Source organism: Homo sapiens, chromosome 2, assembly GCF_000001405.40.
Source record: "Homo sapiens chromosome 2, GRCh38.p14 Primary Assembly".
In the NCBI taxonomy this organism is placed as follows: Eukaryota; Metazoa; Chordata; class Mammalia; order Primates; family Hominidae; genus Homo; species Homo sapiens.
Genome location: NC_000002.12, coordinates 126,635,240 through 126,659,616, shown reverse-complemented (window position 1 = coordinate 126,659,616; position 24,377 = coordinate 126,635,240). Strand labels below are relative to the sequence as shown.

At 45.5% G+C, this 24,377-nt stretch overlaps 1 protein-coding gene across 5 annotated transcripts in view, besides 10 other annotated features; it reads right to left on the bottom strand.

The window, feature by feature from the left end:
• GYPC (glycophorin C (Gerbich blood group)) overlaps nt 1-3,459 on the bottom strand; it is a 40,510-nt gene extending 37,051 nt beyond the window's left edge. For all 5 annotated transcript variants that reach the window (XM_047444034.1, XM_047444035.1, NM_001256584.2 and 2 more), the window contains exon 1: nt 3,305-3,459. Coding sequence is in view for 2 of the 5 variants with exons in the window: in NM_002101.5 (NP_002092.1) it covers nt 3,305-3,353 (49 nt within the window). In the remaining 3 variants the exon portion in view is untranslated. The remainder of the gene's footprint in view (nt 1-3,304) is intronic.
• Nucleotides 1,760-1,989: an enhancer, noted in NCBI's record as "active region_16479". NCBI's record gives its function as "activates an Ori minimal core promoter by ATAC-STARR-seq in GM12878 lymphoblastoid cells {active_cell/tissue: GM12878}" and the evidence as "EXISTENCE:reporter gene assay evidence [ECO:0000049][PMID:35858748]".
• Nucleotides 1,760-2,726: a biological region, named in NCBI's record as "H3K27ac-H3K4me1 hESC enhancer GRCh37_chr2:127414467-127415306".
• Nucleotides 1,887-2,726: an enhancer, noted in NCBI's record as "H3K27ac-H3K4me1 hESC enhancer chr2:127414467-127415306 (GRCh37/hg19 assembly coordinates)". NCBI's record gives its function as "activates a minimal SCP1, AML or CMV promoter by ChIP-STARR-seq in naive H9 embryonic stem cells {active_cell/tissue: H9 hESC(naive)}" and the evidence as "EXISTENCE:reporter gene assay evidence [ECO:0000049][PMID:30033119]".
• Nucleotides 2,180-2,429: an enhancer, noted in NCBI's record as "active region_16478". NCBI's record gives its function as "activates an Ori minimal core promoter by ATAC-STARR-seq in GM12878 lymphoblastoid cells {active_cell/tissue: GM12878}" and the evidence as "EXISTENCE:reporter gene assay evidence [ECO:0000049][PMID:35858748]".
• Nucleotides 3,060-3,429: a silencer, noted in NCBI's record as "silent region_11926". NCBI's record gives its function as "represses an Ori minimal core promoter by ATAC-STARR-seq in GM12878 lymphoblastoid cells {active_cell/tissue: GM12878}" and the evidence as "EXISTENCE:reporter gene assay evidence [ECO:0000049][PMID:35858748]".
• Nucleotides 3,520-3,809: an enhancer, noted in NCBI's record as "active region_16477". NCBI's record gives its function as "activates an Ori minimal core promoter by ATAC-STARR-seq in GM12878 lymphoblastoid cells {active_cell/tissue: GM12878}" and the evidence as "EXISTENCE:reporter gene assay evidence [ECO:0000049][PMID:35858748]".
• Nucleotides 8,214-8,553: a transcriptional cis regulatory region, noted in NCBI's record as "candidate enhancer chr2.4505 targeted for multiplex CRISPR interference". NCBI's record gives its function as "positively regulates GYPC gene expression with high confidence in K562 cells {active_cell/tissue: K562}" and the evidence as "EXISTENCE:mutant phenotype evidence [ECO:0000015][PMID:30612741]".
• Nucleotides 13,833-14,496: a transcriptional cis regulatory region, noted in NCBI's record as "candidate enhancer chr2.4504 targeted for multiplex CRISPR interference". NCBI's record gives its function as "positively regulates GYPC gene expression with high confidence in K562 cells {active_cell/tissue: K562}" and the evidence as "EXISTENCE:mutant phenotype evidence [ECO:0000015][PMID:30612741]".
• Nucleotides 14,672-14,771: an enhancer, noted in NCBI's record as "active region_16476". NCBI's record gives its function as "activates an Ori minimal core promoter by ATAC-STARR-seq in GM12878 lymphoblastoid cells {active_cell/tissue: GM12878}" and the evidence as "EXISTENCE:reporter gene assay evidence [ECO:0000049][PMID:35858748]".
• Nucleotides 14,852-14,901: an enhancer, noted in NCBI's record as "active region_16475". NCBI's record gives its function as "activates an Ori minimal core promoter by ATAC-STARR-seq in GM12878 lymphoblastoid cells {active_cell/tissue: GM12878}" and the evidence as "EXISTENCE:reporter gene assay evidence [ECO:0000049][PMID:35858748]".

Below are 24,377 nucleotides of genomic sequence, written 5' to 3'. Positions count from 1 at the left end.
GGCCAGGTTTGCTCCAATAAATTTCGCTAACAAAAGCCACCTCCCAAGCCTCTGCCACTGGGAGCAGGTCCAGGCCCTTCTGCTGTTGCTCTTCGGGTGACTCTGGGGAAGTGGCTGTTATCATTCCCACTCACAGATGGGAAAACTGAGGTGCTGAGGTATTTCCTCTCTCTCCCAAAGCTGGTGAACATTGGAGGGCAGTCAAACCCAGGGCTGACTCCACAGCACGGATGTTGCTCTGGCCTCTGCTCTGCCCCTCACTCGTCATGTGATGAGGACATGTCCTTTCACTTCTGGGGCACGTTTCCTCACGGGGGTGGGGTGCTGACAGGAAATGGACAAAAGCATCAACCGACACTTCCCCGAAAAGTAATACAACCTCTTATGGAAGTAAGAAAACATGCTCAGTCTCACTTAATTACAGAGGCTCATTCCAAAGTGACAGCGTTTGTTTTGTTGTTTTACCTCTCAGTTTGGCCAAGATAAAAAATGCAGTGTGAGTGAGGACGCAGGGAAATAGTGACTTTCATAGGCTATTTGTGAGCATGAGAAACCGGTGTGACCTTTAGGAGGGTAGTTTCTTAAGATCTACTAACATTTTAAATGAATACACACTTTGTCCCAGAAATCAAATGCTGAGGTGGGAGAATTTATCCTAACAGTTTACAGACACATGCATGTAAAATCCTCCTTACTCATTGTCACAGGACTGCTGTGTGTGGTTTAAAAAAATTAAATGAAGTCTGCATACAGCCTAAATGCCCATCAGCAGAGGAACTGATTAAAGAAAATAACAAGGTATAACCTTTAAGAGATATTCTGATGGAAAAAAAACAAGATGAAGTAAAATATATAAAATGCATTTTTATTATGTAAAATAAGAAATATTTGTATCAGCAAATTTACTTCTAGAAGGATTATCCTCAATAAATAAAGTAATTGCCATTGAGGTAGGGAGAAGGTGTCTTTCTCCTATTTTTAACTCTTCATTCACTGTTAACTTTACTGTTTGTTTGGTTTTGTATTTAGAGCGTGCTTGTTGGCCCACTGGGTATGCTCAGTTACTGGAAGATGTTTTGGCTGTGGCCTCAGACAGGCACTTGAGGCATAGATGTACATACAGGTCTGCCACCTGAAGAGGCAAACTGACTTGACTTGGCCCAACCTCTCACCTCTGTTGAGGGGACCTCTTCCTACTCACTGCAGATGGGTTCACTTGTTCCCACCACAAGCGCAGAATGCCTTGTACTTCACAACCCTTTGCTCCCCAGGGAGCTCTGCAAGTCCCCAGAAATACTTGCCCAACCACGGGCACCCTTGGAAGGGTCCAGCTGCTGACCACCAGCATCATGTGACTCCCAGTGCCAGTGACATCTGGAGGAATTGAGCAATGGCTGAGGTGGAATTTCATTTGGCACTTAATGCAATCCTCTGCTTCTGCCAGAGGCGGTGAATTCTATATAAAGCTGCCAAACCTGGCCGTCTTCTCACTGAGCCTTGACCCCTTCCATCCAAGGGCAAGGCAATGGATTGCTGTGCATGACTCACGCGCAGTAACTGTGGCATTGGGGCCTAGCCCAGCTGAGCTGAGCAGAGCAGGCCGGCCTGGCGGAAGTGGGTCCTCTCCGCTCTAACCTCTGGCTCTGATGAGCAGCTACATAAACTGAGACAGGATATAGACACATCCTGCCTGAGTTAGCAGCAAGAAATAGCCGCCCCCCACCCCCCCTGCAGTTCTCGCACAGCAGGGATCCTGCCATAAATCAATCCGAAGTCTAATGTGGAATGGCTTGCAAGCAAGGGCTGCACCGCTGTTTGTCTCCCAAGGCAAGTGTTGAAGGTCTGAAACCTGAGTCCTGGAGAACTGCTTGGGCTGCTGGGCTGGGCTGGGCACGGGGGCGGGGGTCAGGCAAGCCCATCCTCTTCAGACATGAGAATGCCTCTCAGCCTCACCTCCTCAGTGACTGAATTGGAATAATGACAGTGGCTCCTGTCCCTTTAACCCAGGACCTGCCGTATACACACACATAAACATATGCTCAAGTTACGTGCTCCGGGAACCACAGTCTCATGTGCAATTATATAAACATGCCCAGCACGGATCCAGCACTTAGGATGTGTCAGACTCCGTGCCGGGACATTTATACGCACTTCGTGCTGCTGGATGAGTTATCTCCTGTTATTATTCCTACTTTCCTACTTTGCAGATGAGGAAACTGGAGCTAAGAGAGGCTGCCTTGTTTATAGGCAGTGCAGATGATCCCAGTGCAGACTGAGGGGCCTCGCTCCCAAGCACCACTGATGCCTGCGCACTCCCAGGCTGACGCAAGCACAACCACAGGCACATGGAGTGCCGTGTACACACGTAGACCGAAGCAGCACTCCTCCACGCCAAGCTCCAAGCTCAGGCGGGGTGAGGGGTGAGGCCTCACAACCCCCTGGATTTCAAAGACTTATAAAAGAGTTGGTGTCTCCAATACCCATATCATTATCATATCAATAAGGTATCATTGTCACATGATAGGCTCAGGGTATCTCCTCTCTGACAGACTCTAAGAATCAGACCGCGGCAGGGTGGGGGTAAGAGGGATGTACATTACGTTTTTTGGTAAAATCAAATGGTAGTTTTTATTGCAAAAGTCCAACGGCAGAGGAAGAGGGCAGAGAGAGGCCCAGCAATGTTTCCAAGCATCTACAAAGACTTTCATCACAGATGATTTCCTCTCAGCAAGAAAACGTGATGGTTTAAAAGAGAAAACCAGCAGCGAGGAATTACAAATCCCCAAAGGATCCAGGCCGCAGGATTCCCTCGCATCTGTGTGCCTTTGCGGCGCCCAGCGGAGCGAGCAAGTCCCTGGGCAAGGCTGGAGTTGCCTGGAGTTCACCGGAGCCTGGCCGGTCGGACCCTGGCTGGGGAGCAGCACAGAAGCAACTTGTGATGTGAACTCTCACCTAACTGTTCTTTAGGGAGACAATTCTGGCCCCACACATTTCACATGCCCCGCACAAAGAAACAGAAAGCGGGCGACACGCCCTGGGAGGGCGGGCTGGCGGCTTCTCCAGCTCGGAGCGCGTGGAGGCTGCGCGTAGGGGTCCGGGACGCGGGACAGGGACTCCGCGCAGCCCAGGCGCCGGGGAACCGGGGCTGGAGTCGGGGATCTGAGCCCAGCGGACGCCTCCTCCGCCTGGAGGCCCGGCACGGACCGGGACACCAGGGCGTCCGTGGCCGTGGCTCGGCCCCTGGCTGCTGCGGGCCGCGGCCTCCAGTGGGTCCCCAGGACCCTTCCCCACGGCGGGTACTCACCGAGGCTGAGAGGCCACGCCGTGCTGTTGGGGCTTCTCGTCGACCACATTCCTGGGCGTCAGCCCGGGCAGAGACCGCGGGGACTGGCCAGGCCGGGCCAGGCCGGGCCGGGGGAGGGTCGCGCTCCCGGGCTCCTGACCCTCGGCGGCGAGAGGAAGCGGCACCTGGGTCACACTCCTCCCGCGCGGGCCGAGGGGAGGGGCTCTGGCCCGGAGATAGGCAGACTTCATTTATTTTTTTTCTGCAGACTTGGCTGGTGGGGTTTCCACCCCCTTTTTTTTTTTTAAACACACACCCGCCCACTTCTGAACTCTTCTTTGCTCCAACTTTCCTGCGCAAGAACCACGCTTTTCTAACCGTTTCTCTTTCCATCTGCCACTACCGGATACAGAGGTTGTGGTTGAGAATTCCCCCTGGAGTGCAGGGAAAACTCCCCAATGTGACATGATGGCCTGGCCCAGCACTGTCGGGGATGGTGACCAAATAGGGCAGACCTGTGTTGAAATCTTGGCTGGCTGCGCGGCCGCTGGATAGCTGGGCGGCCTCTCTCAGCTGCGGGGCATTTGTCCCTGGAGAGAGTCCCTGTCTTGTTGGCCTTTGGGGGCCCTGTACTCATGGATGGGCTGTTGAGCAAAGATCATTCCAAAACAGGAAGAATTGCTGGACAAGAGTCGTGATTTGTTCCCATTGCTTTTGTCTGAAGCTGCCAGACACAGTGCAGTTTGTGAATTCGCTCTACTTTTGCCATGAAAATCTCCACGTGGATTTCGATACATACCTTTGTTGGTTAAATGCAGTCAAATGGCACCACCTACAAAAAATGTATCATAGCATTATCTGCCCCTTCTGCCCAGAGACAAGGGCAGGGAACTTGAGGCCCTTGTTTTAAATCCCCACCCAGGGGAACACCCTGTGCTTCTCCTGTGTGATGTCTGAACCTTCCTGTGCTGCTTTTCATTGTTTACTTTATAGTTCCCCAAGCACTTTTGTGACGCCCACCTCTCCCCTACCTTCTGCCATTAAGGCCTATCCTGCACAATCCGGAGAGCCAGGCCAGCTGTCTGTACAATGTATGGGCGGTGCCTTTGGGACTGTCATCTGCATTGAATACAATGAGAGGCTGCGCCCTGGAGATTTGCAACACAGAGGCTTTGCTCACCTCTAGCCGGGCTGCACAAACTCCAGGCCTTCTTGACGCAGTGGGAAAGCACTCATGATTCACTTTAGTTAGATCATGAAGAACCCCCGATGCTGATAGATCTTTACTCCAACTGCCATGTGCAGCACAGCCATGTTGAATTGAAATAAACTACTCACAGAATGCCTTTGGCCTGGTGGGGAAGCCCTGAGTCTTGATTTCCTCATCTATAAAATGGAGGCAAGAACACCTGCATTCCGGGGTTTTACAGAGGCAGTGATTGTAGAATCACAGTGGGAACAGAAAAGGCATTTAATAAACAGCAATGAGTAATGATTAATTTATTTTTATTTATTTATTTATTTATTTTTCTGAGACGGAGTTTTTGCTCTTGTTGCCCAGGCTGGAGTCCAACGGCGTGATCTCGGCTCACCACAACCTCCGCCTCCTGGGTTCAAGCAATTCTCCTGCCTCAACCTCTCGAGTAGCTGGGATTACCAGCATGTGCCTCCACGCCTGGCTAATTTTGTATTTTTAGTAGAGACGGGGTTTCTCCATGTTGGTCAGGCTGGTCTCGAACTCCCGACCTCAGGTGATCCACCCACCTTGGCCTTCCAAAGTGCTGGGATTACAGGCGTGAGCCACTGCACCCGTGATTACTTTAACAGTTTAACTTTTTTTTTTGGTAATACATACACATACGTCTACGTGGAACAGTAGTCCCGCTCCTCTGTCCTGAGAGAAAATAACTTTAATTATCTGAAATGCAGCTGGAAAGTTGGAAAGAAGCAGAAAGTTCTGCCAGGTAACAACGGACAAGTCATTAGGTCATTGCAGCACACTTAGAGAAGTCACTTTTACAGACTCATTTAGAACCTACTGGCCTTAGACGTAATCATAAGAGATTTCCTTAATTTCTTAGGGTAAGACAGGTTGAAGGCATCAAAATGTTGCAGAGAATTCCTTACAGAAAATAAGCCAAAAATTAATAAACTAACGAACTAAACAGTGAAAATTGAAAGCCCCACAAACTGCAGAGGTCAGATACAAGAACGAAGTAGCATTTGTTACAGAACTAAAGCAATCTCAGCTCCAGCCATCACTGGAGGATGTGACAGTTCCTTGCGCTATTAAAGACCACAGGGCTTTGGAACTCAATCTGGGTTAGTTACTCTACTGCCTACTAGCTGCGTAACCTTCAGCATTTCACTTTCTTTCTCTGAGCCTCATTTTTCTCAGCCTGGAAATTGGAGCAATCTGCAAAGTTAGGCTGTTGTGAGTAATATATTCGATAATAATTAAAGAGGTAATTACAATGAGAGTACACTGGAGTTACTTAAAGATATTGGCCCCCTTCCTCCTCTAACACATACTTTGTTCATAGTAAGGACCCCAAGTCATTTGAAAAAGAAAGTAAATAGTGTGTCTTAGTGTGTAGCAAATTAGCTAACAGGGAAACATTTGACATATTTTAGAAAATTTAACTATGAAAGTGTCTAATGTTAAATAAATGACTCTTAAGAAGGGAAAATAATTATGTGAAAAATTTAATTATATGGTAACAGTCTGACATAAGTCAAGAAATGTATTATTAGTGTGTCTTCATGTGTTGGATATTTATTAATGAAGTTAAAAAAAAAACTCAGCTATATCTTGCAATAATAAACCAGTTCTTATCTTGTCTAGTTCCCATAAATACTCTTAAACGGAGTATTGCCAAGAGTCCATTGTAAAGATGAGAACCCAGAAGTTCAGCACAGTGACAAGAACTTGCTCTGCAGTGCAGCCGGGATGGACGGTTCTAGCTGTGTCTTCATTGACTGTCTGTGGCTGATACAAGCTGCAGAGCCCTCCAAGATGTGAGATGGTATGATCCAGTCCTGGAGATGAATTTTCTCTTCCTCTTCAGGGAAGAAACTGCTCATGGGAAACTGCCTTCCAAATCCTCAGTGCTAGTTCCTTATTGGGAGTGGAGTTGGCGGTCCCCTGCTGCTGTTGCTGTCTCCTGGGTGAGCCCTTACAGATGGTGGTAGGTAGATGTTGCTTGGGCCTTTAATGAAAGGTTTTGCCCCTCATCACAGTAACACATGCTCTTTGTGCAAAAAGAAAAAATAAAAAAGAAAAAGCCAAAAAGATACCTAAACCCTAAGAATTGCTTGCAATCTCCAGCACATTAAGGTTATTTACCTTTAGTCTTTTTTATGCATTTACGAATATTTGCTTTATACTCTTGAGATTTTACTGAATACGTGATTTCAAGTGCTGAGCTTTTACTACTAAACATTATGTCATGAGCATTTTCTCATGTAAAAGTAGAAAAGCTCTTTAACTCATTTTAATTACTAGGTTGTTTCATTTTCTTTGCTGGTTGAATAGTGCTGTGATAACCATATGAACATAAATATCTGGATTTCATAATTTTTTCCTTAGGGTATATTCTGACAAGCAGAATTACTCAATCAAAGGTTACAAATGCATTTAAAGCTTTTGATACATTCATAAGTTCTGGCTGTGACCTTTACTTTCTTCCCAATCAAGAGTACCAGTGTTTATCTCAGAGTCTCTTGCCAGAATTAAACAGCAAACTTAAAATCATAGTTAATTCCATAGAAAAGAAACATACATAGTTATTTGTGTCAGCATTTTCTTTGATTACCAGAGAGGCCGAATATGCTGTCAGTTGCTTATTTACAAATCACAGCTTCTTTTAGGTGAATATTTTGTTCACACTGTTTCCTCATTTGGAGGTGTGATGGTTAATACTGAGTGTCAACTTGATTGGATTGAAGGATACAAAGTATTAATCCTGGGTATGTCTATGAGAGTGTTGCCAAAAGAGATTAACATTTGGGTCAGTGGGCTGGGGAAGGCAGATCCACCCTTAATCTAGTGGGCACCATCTAACCAGCTTCCAGGGAATATAGAGCAGGCAGAAAAACATGAAAAGGAGGGATGGGTCTGGCCTCCCAGCCTACATCTTTCACCCGTGCTGGATGCTTTCTGCCCTGGAACATCAGACTCCAAGTTCTTCAGTTTTGGGATTTGGACTGGCTCTCCTTGCTCCTCAGCTTGCAGACAGCCTATTGTGGGACCTTGTGATCATGTAAGCTAATGCTTAATAAGCTCCACACTATATATATATATACAGATCCTATTAGTTCTGTCCCTCTAAGAGAACCTTGACTAACACAGATATTCGTACCAGGAGTGGTTCTAGAGGAACAGAATATGAAGGATGGAGTTCCTTCATTTGTTTTGGGGTTTCTGGAGTTGGCTGCTTAAGATGATTAGACCCCAAAATGCTAAGGAATCTACTTCTAATAGTATGGAGAACACTGATAGTCCTTGGCATGAACTGTTTAGAGAGTTATGCAAAATAAATGCATTTGACACTCCTGATTCTTCACTCGTGAGAGGCCAGTAGTTTAGTAACCCTATACATAATGCCTTTGACCATATGTGGAGAAACAAGGAACATATTGAAGCTGGTTGGTTGCCCCTAAGTTCGGGGACAAAGTGATGAAAAAAATGATGAACTCAGGGATTCTGTCTCCCGGCTTCAGAAGCAGATACTGAGCCTCAAATCTGCTAAGACTGCCCTGAGCGAAAGTCTGAACTTCTATAGAGAAAGAGCTGAAATTGTGGAAAAACAGACACAAGTTCTTATACTAGTGGCTGACCTGCAATGAAAGATGCATGCACAGCCTCACCAGGTGTCTACTGTTAGAATGAGGGCATTGATTGGAAAAGAATGGGACCCTGCAACTTGGAATGGGGACATGTGGGAGGACCCTGATGAAGCTGGGGACACTGAGTTAATAAACTCTGATGAACATTTTTGGCCAGAAGTAACAGCTTCCCCATCCCCAGTAGTGGCAACGTCCTCTCCCCCACCCATGCTGCTATCAGCCTTTCCACCTTTGTCTGAAGAGATAAACCCTGCGCTGCCTGAGGCAGTTGCCAGGCAAAATAATGTTGATTCTCCTCAGAAGCCACCCCCAACACCTCTGTTTGCTTCTAGGCCTATAACTAGACTAAAGGCTTGGTGGGCCCCTAGAGGTGAGGTGCAGAGTGTGACCCATGAGGAGGTGCACTACATTCGAAAAGAACTGTTTGAGTTCTCTAATTTATGTAAACTGCAATCTGGAGCACAGGCATGGGAATGGATATTAAGGGTGTGGGATAATGGTGGAAGGAACATGAGTTGGATCAGGCTGAATTTATTGATTTGGGCCCACTAAGTAGGGACTCTGCATTTAATGTTGCAGCTTGGGGAGTTAAAAAAAAGTTCTAATAGTTTATTTGCTTGGTTAGCTGAAATATCGATTAAAAGATGGCCCACTGTGAGTGAGCTGGAAACGCTTGATCTCCCTTGGTTTAATGTAGAGGAAGGGATCCAGAGGCTTAGAGAGATTGGGATGGTGGAGTGCATTAGTCACTTTAGACCTACTCATCCCAACTGGGAGGGTCCAGAAGATATACTCTTGACCAATTCCTTGAGAAATAGATTTTTGAGGGCAGCAACTGCATCTTTGAAGAGCCCTGTATTGCTTTTCTCTGTATGTCAGATCTAACTGTGGGAACTGCAGTCACTCAGCTACAAAATTTAAATACGATTGGAATAATTGGATCCTGAGGTGGCAGGGGCCACGTGGCAGCACTAAACAGTCAAAGGCAAGGTGGCCATAGCTACCGTAATGGACAGCAGAGTCAAAGCGGCAATAAGAATAGTCTGACTTGTGTAGAGCTCTGGCATCAGCTAAATAATCACGGTGTTCCTAGAAGTGAAATTGATAGGAAGCCTACCACATTCCTACTTACATTATACAAATGGAAAACTTCTAGGTCAAATGGACAAAATACTAATCTGAATTATGAAAACAGAGAATCATGGCCCCTCAATCAATTTGCATACTTGAGCCAGTTTACAGACCCAGTTTACAGGCCGGGTCCCCTTGATGAAGGACCCCAATACATTACTGACAGTTTGTGCAATGAATCTTTCTCTCATCCTTTCTCAAGGAGACCTCCAGCCTTTTACCAGGGTAACTGTGCACTGGGGAAAGGGAAATGATCAGACATTTCAGGGACTACTGGACACTGGCTCTGAGCTGACGTTGACTCCAGGGGACCCAAACTGTCATTGTGGTTCTCCAGTTTAAGTAGGAGCTTATGGAGGTCAGGTAATTAATGGAGTTTTAGCTCAGATTTGACTTACGGTGGGCCCAGTGGGTCCCCGGACTCATCCTGTGGTCATTTTCTCAGTGTCAGAATGCATAATTGGTATAGACATATTTAGCAGCTGGCAGAACCCCTGCATTGGCTCCCTGACTGGTAGGGTGAGGGCTACTGTTGTGGGAAAGGCCAAATGGAAGCCATTGGAGCTGCCATCACCTAGAAAAATTGCAAATCAAAAAGAATACCACATCCCTGGAGGGATTGTGGAGATTACTGCCACCATCAAGGACTTAAAAGATGCAGGGGTGGCGATTCCCACCACATCCTCATTCAGCTCTCCCATTTGGCCTGTGCAGAAGACAGATGGAGCTTGGAGAATGACAGTGGATTATTGTAAGCTTAACCAAGTGGTGACTCCAATTACAGCTGCTGTACCAGATGTGGTTTCATTGCTTGAGTAAGTTAACACATCTCCTGGTAACTTGTATGCAGCCATTGACTTGGCAAATGCCTTTTTCTCCATTCCTGTCCATAAGGCCCACCTGAAGCAATTTGCCTTCAGCTGGTAAGGCCAGCAATATACCTTTACTGTCCTACATCAGGGGACATACTGATATACTATCCGGCTTTGTGTCATAATATTATTCAGAGATAGCTTGATCACTTTTTACTTCTGCAAGATATCACACTGGTCCATTATATTGATGACATCATGCTGATTGGATCCAGTGAGCAAGAAGCAGCAAACACACTGGACTTATTGGTAAGACATTTATGTGCCAAAGGATGGGAAGTAAATTTGACTAAAATTCAGGGAACTTCTACCTCAGTAAAATTTCTTGGAGTCCAGTGGTGTGAGGCCTGTCAAGATATTCCTTCTAAGATAAAGGATAAGTTGCAGCATTTGGCCCCTCCTACAACCAAAAAAGAGGCACAACATCTTGTGGGCCTATTTGGATTTTGGAGGCAACACATTCCTCATTTGGGTGTGTTATTCTGGCCCATTTATTAAGTGACCTGAAAGCCTGACAGTTTTGAGTGGGGTCCAGAACAGCAGAAGGCTCTGCAACAGGTCCAGGCTGCTGTGCAAGCTGCTCTGCCACTTGGGCCATATGACCCATCAGATCCAGTGGTGCTTGAGGTGTTAGCCTTTGGGAAGCTCCATAGGCGAATCACAGTGGAAGCCTCTAGGATTTTGGATCAAGGCCCTGTCATCTCCTGCAGATAGCTACTCTCCTTTTGAGAGACAGCACTTGGCCTGTTACTGGGCTTTGGTGGAAACTGAATGTTTGACTATGGGTCATTGAGTCACCATGTGACCTTAACTGCCTACCATGGCCTGAGTGATTTCTGACCCATCTAGCCATAAAGTGGGTCATGCACAGCAACATTCCATCATCAATTGGAACTGACATATACGTGATCAGGCTCGAGCAGGTCCTGAAGGCACAAGTGAGTTACATGAGGAAGTGGCTCAAATGTCCACGGTCTTTACTCCTGCCACCCTGCCTTCTCTCCCCGAGCCTGCACCGATGGCCTCATAAGGAGTTCCCTAGGATCAGTTGACAGAGGAAGAGAAGACTAAGGCCTGGTTCACAGATGGTTCTGCATGATATGCAGGCACCACCCAAAAGTGGACAGCTGTAGCACTACAGCCCCTTTCTAGGACATCCCTGAAGGACAGCAGTGAAGGGAAATCTTCCCAGTGGGCAGAACTTCAAGCAGTACACCTGGTTGTGCACTTTGCATGAAAGGAGAAATGGTCAGATGTGTGATTACATACTGATTCATGGGCCATAGCCAAAGGTTTGGCTGGATGGTCAGGAATTTGGAAGAAACATGATTGGAAAATTGGTGACAAAGAAATTTGGGGAAGAGGTATGTGGATGGACCTCTCTGAGTGTTCAAAAACTGTGAAGATATTTGTATCCAATGTGAGTGCTCACCAATGGGTGACCTCAGCAGAGGAGAAGTTTAATAATCAAGTGGATAGGATGACTCATTCTGTGGACTCCACTCAGACTCTTTCCCCAGCCATCCCTGTCATTGCCCAATGGGCCCATGAACAAACTGGCCATGGTGGCAGGGATGGAAGTTACGCATGGGTTCAGCAACATGGACTTCCATTCACCAAGGCTGACATGGCTATAGCCACTGCTGAGTGCCCAATTTGCCAGCAGCAGAGATGAACACTGAGCCCTCTACATGGCACCATTCTTTGGGGTGATTAGCCAGCTACCTGGTAGCAGGTTGATTATATTGCACCTCTTCCCATCATGGAAAGGGCAGAAATTTGTCCTCACTGAAACAGACACTCCAGATATGGGTTAGCCTGTCCTGAATGCAATGCTTCTGCCAAGACTACCATCCGTGGACTCACAGAATGCCTTATCCACAGTCATGGTATTCCACATAGCATTGGCTCTGACCAAGGCACTCATGTTACAGCTAAAGAAGTGTAGCAGTGGGCTCATGCTCATGGAATTCACTGGTCTTACTATGTTCCCCATCATCTTGAAGCAGCTGGATTGATAGAATGGTAGAATGGCCTTTTGAAGTCACAATTACAACGCCAACTAGGAGACAATACTTTGCAGGGCTGGGGCAAAGTTCTCCAGAAGGCCATGTATGCTCTGCATCAGCATCCAATATATGGTACTGTTTCTCCCATAGCCAAGATTCACAGGTCCAGGAATCACGGGGTGAAAATGGAAATGGCATCACTTACCATCACCCCTCAAAATTTTTGCTTCCTGTTCCCATGACATTACATTCTGCTGCTAGAGGTCTTAGTTCCAGAGGGAGGAACAGTGCCACCAGGAGACACAAGAACAATTCCATTAAACTGGAAGTTAAGATCGCCACCTGGACACTTTGGGATCCTCCTACCTTTAAGTCAACAGGCTAAGAAGGGAGTTACTGTGTTGGCTAGGGTGATTGACCCGGACTACTAAGATGAAATCAGTCTACTACTCCACAATGGAGGTATGGGAAAGTGTGCATGGAATACAAGAGATCCATTAGCGTGTCTTAGTATTACCGTGCCCTGTGATCAAGGTCAATGGGAAACTACAACAGCTCAATTCAGGCAGGACTACAGATGGCCCAGACCCCTCAGGAATGAAGGTTTGGGTTACTCCACCAGGAAAAATAACAAAACCTGCTGAGGTGTTTGTTAAAGGCAAAGGGAATACAGAATAGGTAGTAGAAGAAGGTAGTCATCTATACCAGCTATGACCACATGACCAGCTGCAGAAACCAGGACTGTAATTGTCATGAATATTTCCTCATTCTTTTGCTAAAAACATGTTTGTGTTTGTATACACTTGTACTAAGAAAATATATTCATTTTAATTCTTTTTCTTTTATCATGTGACATAAGATTTATTGACTTCATATCAACATTTAAGTATTGTTAACTTTATGTAATAGTATTTGGGTTGGGGATTGGTGCGTTTCCAGTTGTGCAAAGGATAGTTGTATTATGTTAGATGTAAATATGACCTTATGATTGTCTTTATTTGGAGATTATGTATGATCTCAGGAGATGTGTATGGGTTCAAGTTGACTAGGGGTGAACTTGTGATGGTTAATACTGAGTGTCAACTTGATTGGATTGAGGCATAAAAAGTATTAATTCTGGGTGTGTCTGTGTGGGTGTTGCCGAAAGAGAGTAACATTTGAGTCAGTGGGCTGGGGAAAGCAGATCACCCTTAATCTGGTGGACACAATCTAATCAGCTTCCAACGAATGTAAAGCAGGCATAAAAACATAAAAAGGAGAGGCAGGCATAAAAACATAAAAAGGAGAGACAGGCCTAGCCTCCCAGCCTGCATCTTTCACCCCTGCTGGATGCCTCCTGCCCTTGAACATCAGACTCCAAGTTCTTCAGTTTTGGGACTGGCTCTCCTTGCTCCTCAGCTTGCAGAGAGCCTATTGAGCCTATTGTGGGACCTTGTGATCGTGTAAGTTAATACTTAATAAACTTCTCTCTCTCTCTCTCTCTCTCTCTCTCTCTCTCTCTCTATATATATATATATATATATATATATATATTCTATTAATTCTGTCCCTCTAAGAGAACCCTGACTAATAGAGAAGGAGTGGAAGGAGTGGCAAATGTTTTTCTTTTTGATTTATGTGAACCTTTTATACAAAAAAGGAAACATCACCTTTTCATGTGTATTGCAAATATCTTCTCTTTTGGCCTTTTTCTGGTTCTTTCAATTAATGCAGAAACATAGGTTGATTTACATGATTGGCAAGTTGGTAGCTTTTAAGAAAACCCAAGTCCAGCTATGCATATTTTATGATGGATGTGGACAAGAAGGAGAAGTTTATTTTGTTCATGCTGCCACAGGCTCCTTCTAAAGGAGTGGACAGTAAGAGGAGGGGACCAGAGAGGGTGGGGACAGAGAGACAGCCTTGTACCTGATCTAGACACCAAGAGATTAGTGGCTACAAGCTCCCAGCCTTGACTGGGAACCTATCCTCCTCTTTCTCAGCAGAATGTTCTTTCTGAGAATTCACTAATGGGGTGGTTTGGAGGCTCAGATGAGTGCCTCCAGGCAAGGGAGGAGACCTTATCATGCCTGCTCAGACTGAGCTGATAGATCCTCTTTCTTTTAGAAGTTGCTAAAGGCTGGCTGTCACCATGCAAGGCAGATAGATGGGAAACCACCATAGGGGCCAAGAGAAAACTCCCTTGCCCTCTGAAAGTTCACTGAAAAATTAACTCGTAAAGGGCAGATTAGCTGGAGAAAAGGTCTACAAGTTTATTTTAACATGCATAGCATAGGAGCATTGTAGAATAATTACCCAATTAACCAATGGGGTACTTCTATATCCTTCTTCTTAGGAGAAGGAGAAATGGGGAAGTGTATTAGTCCATTCTCACATTGCTATAAAGAACTACCTGAGACTGGAGCATTTATAAAGAAAAGAGGCTTCATTGACTCTCAGTTCTGCAGCCTGTACAGGAAGCATGGCTGGGGCTTACAATCATGGCAGAAAGGGAAGCAGGCCTGTCTTACATGACTGAAGAAGGAGGAAGAGAGAGAAAGGGGAGGTGCTACACACTTTTAAACAACGAGAACTCCTGAGAACTCTATCACAAGAACAGCAAGGGGGAGGTCCACCTCTGTGATTCAGTCACCTCCCACCAGGGCACTCATCCAACACTGGGATTACAATTCGACATGTGATTTGGGTGGGGACACAAATCCAAACCATATTAGGAAGTTTGGGTAATTTTAGGAGAGTAATAAGTGACTTTTAGGGAAATTCAATGGGCTTGAAGAACATACAATGGCTTGTGACAAACTGTTGTGCCTAAAGAACAGACCATGGTTTGTGACAAAAGTCTGCCCAGGTGCGTTGACAGACTTCAGACTTTCTTCCTGACATGTGAGTTCAGTTAATGAAAGCCCAGGGAAGGGACCAGGGATCATGTTTTCTTCTTAGGAAGGTCCAGACTTTAGACAGATTAGGGAACTTCAGAGAACAACTTCATCCTGGGCTTTGGGAGAGACAGAGGATTAACACCCAGGAGGTGTTGGTGGGGAGCTGAGAAAGGGGAAAGCCAGACAGACTTTGAGGATTCTTCAGTTCAGCATGTCAAAGGGCCATATTTTGAGGTATTGATTTCTGAGCCCCAACAGCACCCAAGCATTGTGTGAGGCTGTGGGAGCTGTAGTCTACTCCCCTGACTTACAGCAGCACCTCATTCAAGGGTAGATCTTTCAGCATCCAGAATGGCCCCCTTCTGGAAGCTTCCTAATGGGCATCTCTAAGAGAACAGGAAGAGCATAAAAACTCAATGGGAACACTGGGTGGTCTGGGGTGGGCTGAGGCGATGCATAGGCCAGCCTCAACTGCTGGTGTGCACTCTAAAAGCCGATGTCTATGGACTGGGGTTGAGAAAAGTTGGGAAGCTTCAGACTGAGGGGAGAAAAAAGAAAGAGCCCAGAGAAACGTGAGGAGGAGCTTGAATTTCTAGCAAGTCAGTGAAAAAAGGAGGCAACACATAGGCAACCTGGGTGGTTCAGATGCTCCAGGAAGTGTGTATTTTTCCCTAAAAATGCATGGCAGCAGGCACAGGATTATAGGACCCATTTCCTGAGCATATGAGTATTATTAACTGTCACAGCTAATTGTCACAACAGGTGGTGCTTTGTTTTTGTTTATTTTCCTGTTCACTCTTCATTTGACAGAAGCTGAGGACCAGAGGAGTGACTCTCGCACAGCGGCTCGGTGCCTGAGCTGGAATTCCAACCAGGGCTGTCGCCCTCTAAAGCCCTGCCATGGCAGTGCTGCCAGCTCACTCTCCTTGGGCTCCCTTCCCACCTCCCACATCCCCATGTCCCCATGGACTCCTGGTGCCACGGCACAGCTGCATGGGGGTGATTCATGCTGGACACCTGAGACACAAGGAGAGGAGGCAGGGAGCTGCCGAAAGAGGTTCAGTTAAAAACTTCCAACAATGAGGGAGTGAGTTACCAACTTTCAGGAAGCCTTGTTTGGGTCCCAGCCCTTTTCCCTTTGGGTATAATTTGTTGGTATGACACTGAACTAACACATTGCATCTCGAGCTGCTCCCTGCTGAGCTCTGGAGCCCACTAAGGGATGAAAGCAGCTCCTCCTTAGGCCTTTTGTTGTGGCTTTTTCTCTTTTTGGCCAACAGGAGACAGGAATTTGGGAATTATGCAGATGGGGTCTCTCAGAATCTAGCCCTGTGAAGAATAGGTGAAAAGTCTGTCTGGGCATGGTGTCCTGGATAGTCGTCTGGACATGGTATCCTGGGTGTGGAGACTTAGTTTCTTTCTCTGCAGTAAGAATTCACCTTCTTTTGTTAATGTAGATACCAGGGAGGGGATTCATGACAATTGAATTTCTTTTGGAGAAACTTCCCAAGGAAAACTTCAGAGAAAGCCCCTCCACGTGCTTTGGGAGAGAAATAGGATCCAGAGACAGGGGGCAGGGGGAGAGTCAGAGAGACCTTGGTTCTGAGACTGCTCCTTAGTTCAAAGCACTCAGTGCGTCCAAGCACCACACCTTGGGGTATTATTTTCTGAGCCCCAACAGCTACCAAGAAGTGGGAACAGAATGGTAATGATGTTTGCCACAATTTTGCTATAAGCTTTGCTAGGTAACCTCATTAAATTTCCAGAATGGTCTCACAAGCAAGGACAGAGCAGGATTTAGAATGTGGCAGATGTGGCCTCTCGTTCCTGGTTCGCCACCTACCGCTTTGCTTAGTGACTTTGCCCCCACGTAGGTTAATGACATCTGTGTCTGACGTGCTCTGGAGGGTTGAGGCAGGCTCTCCTGGGAGGTTTGCAGCTTCATTAATGATGATAAAGACAAAGGCTTCATAACGCTATAGAAAAAACTAGAAAATACCATGTGAAATAAACACACATGCGTGGATTAGCTGTGCCATGACCACATCCAGATATAACTACTTCCACCCACAGGTAGGAATGGTCATACCAAGGCCATGGGATATGGGTGACTGTTTATTTCTTAACTGTTTTTTTCTCATTTATAAGTTCCTTTGAGTATTTGGCTCAAGTTCATAGATTTAGCATGTTTTGTACTCTCTCCCTCTGGGGAGCCCATTCCAATTGTATAAAGGAATACTGGAAGAAATAAGCTTGCGAGCTGCACAGGGGTTCCTCCAGCCACCTGTGAGATTTTGGGAATTCCTGGCTGCTGGATGGGGTGTGGGAGTGTGCTGAGGGGGAGGCAACAGAGAGCTGGGGACTGCAGCCCAAAGGAAGCCCAGAGGAAGGGTGTGTGTGCGTGCGGGGTGCGGGGGTCTTAGACTGCCAGAGCCACAGGGGTCTGGGCTCAGAGATGGCTGGTTGGAGGGTGGGGGTCTGAACTAGGGATGAAGACAAGGGTTGAAGGTCTCTGCTTGCAGTAGGAGCATGTATATCCTCCCCACTTCCCCACTTCTGGGTACAAAATGTCAGGCAGGCCACAAAAGTTTATCCACAGGGACAAAAAAGTGTGGATGTCTCTAAGAAACTGTAAGAAAGCCACTAGTGTGGGAAGTGAATGCCTCCTGATGTAGTTTGGATGTATGCCTTGCCCACATCTCATATTGAAACATAATCCCCAATGTTAGACGTGGGGCCTGGGGACAGGTGATAGGATTATTGGGTGGGTTTCTCATGGGTTTAGTACCATTGCTCTTGGTACTGTTCTCAAGATAGTGAGTGAGTTATCCTAAGATCTCATTCTTTAGAAGTGTGTGGCACCTTCCCATTCTCTCTCTTGCTCCAGCTTTATTTTATTTATTTATTTTTGAGACAGAGTCTCGCTTTATCACCCAGGCTGGAGTGCAGTGGCACGAACTCAGCTCACTGCAACCTCTGCCTGCCAGGTTCAAGCAATTCTCCTGCCTTAACCTCCTGAGTAGCTGGGATTACAGATGTGTGCCACCATGCCTGGCTAATTTTTTGTGTTTTCGGTAGAGATGGGATTTCCTCATTTTGGCCAGGCCGGTCTTGAGCTCCTGACTTCAAGTATTCTGCTCACCTCGGCCTCAGAAAGTACTGGAATTACAGGCTTGAGCCATCACGCCCGGCTTCGCTCCTGCTTTTGCCATGTGACGTGCCTGCTCCCACTTTGCATTCTGCCATGATGTCTCAAAAATAAAAATAAAAGTTTAAAAAAATTGGAAGTTAAAGCTAAAGAAAATCTTCTAGACTAAGAGAAAAACAAGATAAAACACTATAGAAAAAATGATAGATAATATAAGGACCTCCAAGTAATATGAACTTCCCAAAGAGAGAACAGAAAAAATGAAGGGAGAGAGTTATATATATATAACTGCAGATATATAACTATATATACATATCATTCTATATACCTAAGTATATATATCTATAGGTATAACTATATATGTGATGTGTATATATATGAAGAAGACAAACAAGAATGAAGAGAAGAAACAGAAGAAAATATCTCAGAGCTAATGAAAGATAGTCTTCAGACTGAAATGGCTGAATTTAAAGACTACATCTATCTATATCTGTATCTATCTATCTATATATACACACACACAACACACATATACATAATATAATTACAGAACAAATATTTTAAAGAGAAAGGTTTTAAAAGCTTCACAAATGACGTGGGTAGAGAGAGAGAGAGGCTTCTACAGCAAATAAAGTCACACACTGGCCTTAGAACTCACATCAATAATGCAGAAGCTAGCAGACAACAGATCAGTGCTTTCAAAGTTCAGGTGGAGATGTCTTTGAACCTTAAATCTTATACTTGGCTAAAAGATCAATTGACTGTGAGAGAAAATAAAGACATCTTTGGAGATTTAAAGACTGAAAAAGTTTTTTACACAGAAGAAAGCTGTTGGAAAAGAAAATCTATTAGAGCAGGGAGAATGGCAAGGAGAAGAGCCCCGGGATCGGGCCACAGTGGTGTGCCTGGAGGGCGGTGGAGGGACCCACAGGGTTTCATTTTAGTTCTGGAGAATGGCAAACTTCTGGAGGGACAACGCTGCAGAAAAAAATGAAAAGGAGGCTCCACAGGAGAAACAGGGTGATTGAATGGCTGGAGACACCTGAAAACGTGGTGAGAATGCATACTTTGTTTTTCCACAAGGAAAAATGTTGGCCGAAACCCCAGAAAACAAAAAGCTGTACAAATAAGCCATGGGCCAAATCTGAAGCTATAACTAAAGTACAGCATCACTTTGGGCCACTGATGGAGTGTGAGGAACGTTAATCCATTGCAGCCCCAGGCTGGGGGCACTTTCCCTGGGGAAGTACAGGGGCCAAGAAGTGGAACCCCAAAAACAGGAGACAAGCCTCTCACCCCACTTGGCTCTGCAGTGGCAAAATCGGATACGATTACTTGTTGTCACTTCGTTGGTATTCCGGTTTAGAATGAGCCTATAGAAAAACACACACACACACTGAAGATAATCAGGGTCACTGAATTGAATGTGATTTTTGGTGAGATTGAAATTGTGCAAGTCCAGGCCTATCAGTGGCAAGTAGGAGGAGGAGGTGAGAAGTGGAGGGAAGGGAGAGGATGCTGACGGTCTACTTTGCACAGGGAGGTTGAGAGGCAGATGACATTGGATCACAGAGGAACACGTGCTTTACCATATTGTTTAAAGTTGCAGAGAAAATCAACTCAGGGGAGAACCAAATGTAATTATAAAAGTGTCCAGTATTTGGAGAAAGCAATGAAAAATGATGTGGAGAGTGATGTCAAAGTGTTGAACTGCCATCCTTCGTATGCGAGGTGAGTCAGCAGCATCCTGAAGTGACAAAGATGATGGGCACACTCAAAGAGGTTAACGAGGCACAGAGTATTTTGAGGGGAACTCATTTCAGAGCTGTGGGCTGGGTTAAGGGCCTCTCATCCCAGCACAAGCACCACCCTTAGGTCTTAAGGGACAGGAGACGAATGTTGTTACTGGAGCTGGGCCAGGTGGGGGCCTTGGGTGAGGGGCCTCCCCTCCCCTGTTGCTTTATCGGAGCATAGCACTGCAGAAGCACAGAGGGAGGTTGGGGCAGGTGGGGCCCACTCTGGCCTAACCTACCTGCATGTTCTGCTGATGAAGCCCTTGCAGTCTGCCCCCATCTCCTGGGCACAGAGTAGGGGAGAATGAATCTAGGTTGGGTAAATGAAGAATTACCTGCATGAAAGCCAATAGACATTGTTTGAAGCTGGTGAGTCCAAAACTAGGATAATAAGCATATTATCTAGAAAAATGAAGTAACCCGTTGGAAACCTATAATCAAAGATGGTGAAAGGGCTTTTGGAGAGCAGGGCTGTGGGTAGGGTGTATGTGGGAGAGGATTGCTTTTCAAACAAAAGCTCTCTGTACTATTTGAATTATTTTTTTAATTCTTGAAGAAAACTTGTAAACCACAGGGAAAGCATACGATATCAAAAACATCTCAACTGGCTGAGAAAATGGACTTGATTTAGTAAGACGAAATTTAGCAGCAATTCATTTAAATGAATGACCTTTTTTCCAAAAAAAGGCACGTGGACAGTACAAAGAAATGACTCAGATAGGCCTCCCAGCTTCAACTCTGCCTACGGCATGGTTAAGTGATGCATTGGGGATGCCCACAGCTTTGTGATCTCCTTAAAGAACCGACCCTGCTTCCCCATTGCACGTGAAAAGCAATTCCAGAGGCTATAAGTAGAAATGATAACCTACCTTCTCCCAGTACACCATCAAGCCAATACCATTGTCAATATCCCTGCTTACTGGAGTCACCACCCAAAGTTCCAAGTTTCCCAGTCTCTTCTTAAGGCCCTTCATGGAAATCCATCTCCCATTACTCCTACTCCTCCAAACCCTTCCACCAGGTGCCCTGGAATTCACAGTCTTGTCAAAAACTTTCTCTGTGTTCTCTGACTTCTCATTAAATGTGACCTAATGTTCATGCTCTTTCAGGAGCCCTGCTTTCCCTGAGGACATTGCTCTCTCTTCAGTCCACTCAAGTGGGGACTGTTTGTTGTTGTTTGTTGTTTTTTCTCATCCTAAGTACCACTGGGATCTACCAAGGGGCAATATGCCTGGGTGAGGAGGGCTGTTCTGTCTCCGTTTCCTCTTCTTGCAAACACCCAGTTGTTTGAAATGCCCTTTATCAGATTCCATTCCTGCTTCCCGCCCCCCAGTCATTCTCCCTTGTTTCCTGGGGATACCTTGCAGCTTCGTGCTTTTCTCTCCAGCACAACGTTTGCCTTTCAGGATCCACATAAACCTTAGTCTGATTTCACAGTTCCTTGGCATGTTCGCCAGCACCGACCATTTCCTCCGTCTCATAGGCCCCCTGCGGTGGCAGCAGGCCGACCTTACTGCTGCACTGCCTCCAGTGTAGCACCATCCAGCTCCCTGACCATTTGCACCCCCACATTCTCAACACTCTCTCTGGAGCTGATTCTGACACTTCTCTAGGCTTGTTGGAATCCTCGATACTTTGACCCTATCCTGTCTCTCATGTCCACAGTTCTTTCCTCACCCCGGTTAGACTCTGAAGTCCACATGGGACCCACCCTGCAACCTCAACCTCCGCTCCTCCTTGCCCGTTAGCGACCTTGCCCTTCTCTCCTTGTGACTCGCTGTCTGAAGAAAGCCCAGCCCCGATGGAACACCATTCACCTCCTACCCTGCACTTTCACCCTCGCAGCTCAGTGTGTGCTGCCAACGTTGTGTTAAATTTATAAGCACTGGACTTATATAAACTCTGCCCAGTGGCCTGTTACATTTTCTGGTCACTTGGATCCTCTCTCTGGGAATGCTGTTGCACATCTCTTCTCTTTTTTCTCCAGACCCCTGAAGCTCTTCTCTCATCTTATTACTTTCAAAATAGAATCCACTGAGATATGGCCACTTCCTCCTTCCACCACAGAATCTATGATTCCACAGGCCTAGAAGCACAGTCCTGCTTCCGTCTCTGGCCACCTTTCCGCAGGGGCATTCAATGTCATCTCTTCTTTCTTAAGGGTCTCACTCCTCTGCCTCCTGGATCACTTGCATCAGTGCACATCTTGCACTTTAACCCCTTCCATTTTCCTCCCCAACTACCAATTCTTTTGTTCTCTATTGCAGCAAAACTTCTTTAAAAAGTCACCTAAAGTTACTGCCTCCAATTCGTCTCCCATTCTTTCTTTCTCCTTTGACTATATTTTTAAAATTGTGAAGCTTTACATACATACAAAACATGCAGAAAACAATAGTGTACATACAGCTCAATGAATTATCACAACATCAGCCCCCATGGAAGCACCGTCCAAGTCAGGACACAGGACATGTCCAGCCTCCCAGAAGCCTCTCATGCCATCTCCAAATCTTACCTTCCTTTTCCCCACACAATGGTAACAGCTATGCTAACTTTATTGTATTTGGTTTCCTTTCCTTTTCTTTTTTTTTTTTTATTTGACAGAGTCTCGCTCTGTTGCCAGGCTGGAGTGCAGTGGCGTGATCTTGGCTCACTGCAACCTCTAGGGTTCAAGTGATTCTTCTGCCTCAGCCTCCCGAGTAGCTGAGACTACAGGCTCATGCCACCACACCCAGCTAATTTTTGTATTTTTAGTATAGACAGGGTTTCACCATGTTGGCCAGGATAGTCTCAATTTCCTGACCTCGTGATCCGCCCGCCTCGGCATCCCAAATTGCTGAGATTACAGGCGTGAGCCACCTTGCCTGGCCTTCGTTTTTCTTTTTCAAGTTTCGCCTAAGGAAGAATATGGTTTTCTTTGCTTTTTGAACATTACATAAGTGGAATCATATAGTGTCTACTTATTGGAGTCTGGCTTTTCTCACTCAACTTATGTCCATAAAATTAATTCACTTTGTTGTTATCCGTAGCTGTAGTTCATTCATTTTCATTGTATCCTAATATACAAATATATTAGAATTAATTTGATCTATTCTGCCACCAATGGACATTGGATTATATCCAGTTTGGGGCAATTATAAGTAATGTTGCTATGAAAATTCTTGTGCATGTACATGTACCCTGGTGTTCAGGTACACACATTTCTGTTGGATATGTATTTACACAGATATATACACACATGCACACACTATACATTATATATACATACTATATATAATATATGTGCATACTATACATATTATGTATACACATTATATACATAATATATACAGATACTACACATACTCTATGTATAGACACATACACAATGTACATAATATACACAGACACTTATACATTATGTACACACACACACACACACACTTCACACTATGCACAAAAAAGTGGACTTGCTGCTTCATAGAGTATGCATTCGACTTTGTTAGATAATGTAAACTTTTTCCCAAAGTGCCAATTTCCATGGGCACCAGCAGTATATAAATTTCTCAATATTCTACTTCTTCCAAACACTTGGTATTTTGAGTGTTATAAATTAAGTTATTCTGTCTGGTATATAGGAGTATTTCATTGTGGTCTCTATTGGCATAGATAAAGAAATCAGATAGGATGACCTATGAGGCTGAGTATCAAAAGAAACAGGAAGGAGCTCATGGTTGATTACATGGGCCGGTAGAACTAGACTTGACATCTGTCTTAGGCATTGACTCACTTACTGACACTGGACTACTTAGTTTCTCTCCTTGATCTGTAGCTTTCTTTTATGTAATGCATGCATCACTTTCACCTTGCAGATTTATGGAGAGGATTAAAAATAATAAAGCTAGACACTGTGCCTCACCCCTGTAAATCCCCATATATATATATATATATATATTGACTGGGGAATAGTAGGTGCCCAATAAGTGGTGACTGTTTTTACCTCGTATCTTCACTTATTAGTGGTAAAGTCACCAATGGAAACAAAGCAGGCAGAGTTCCAGCAGACTGTGAGGAAGCAGCAGGAGTCTTGAGGGTTCACTGCTGAATGGTCCCCTGGGATAGCTTGTACTGTTGTGCAACAAATATTTACTCTTCCCTTCCCCAGCATGAGCCCAGTGCACTGCCTTACCCTAGTCCTCTGGGATTTGCTTTGGCTGGGGGAATGTGAGTGAACATGACCTGAGTGTATCCCAGCACAGTTTGGAATGTGCTAGATGGCTAGGTTCAGCCTCTTGCCCTCCAGCTCTCCCTCATAGGAAGAGCATGTGCAGGAAGCCACTGTTTCTCCAGCTTGGGCCATGCTCCTGGAAGCTTGGATGGCTCTTACTATGCCAGCTTGATGCCTTGACTCAGCTGTGTCTGACTTTGTCAAGAATTG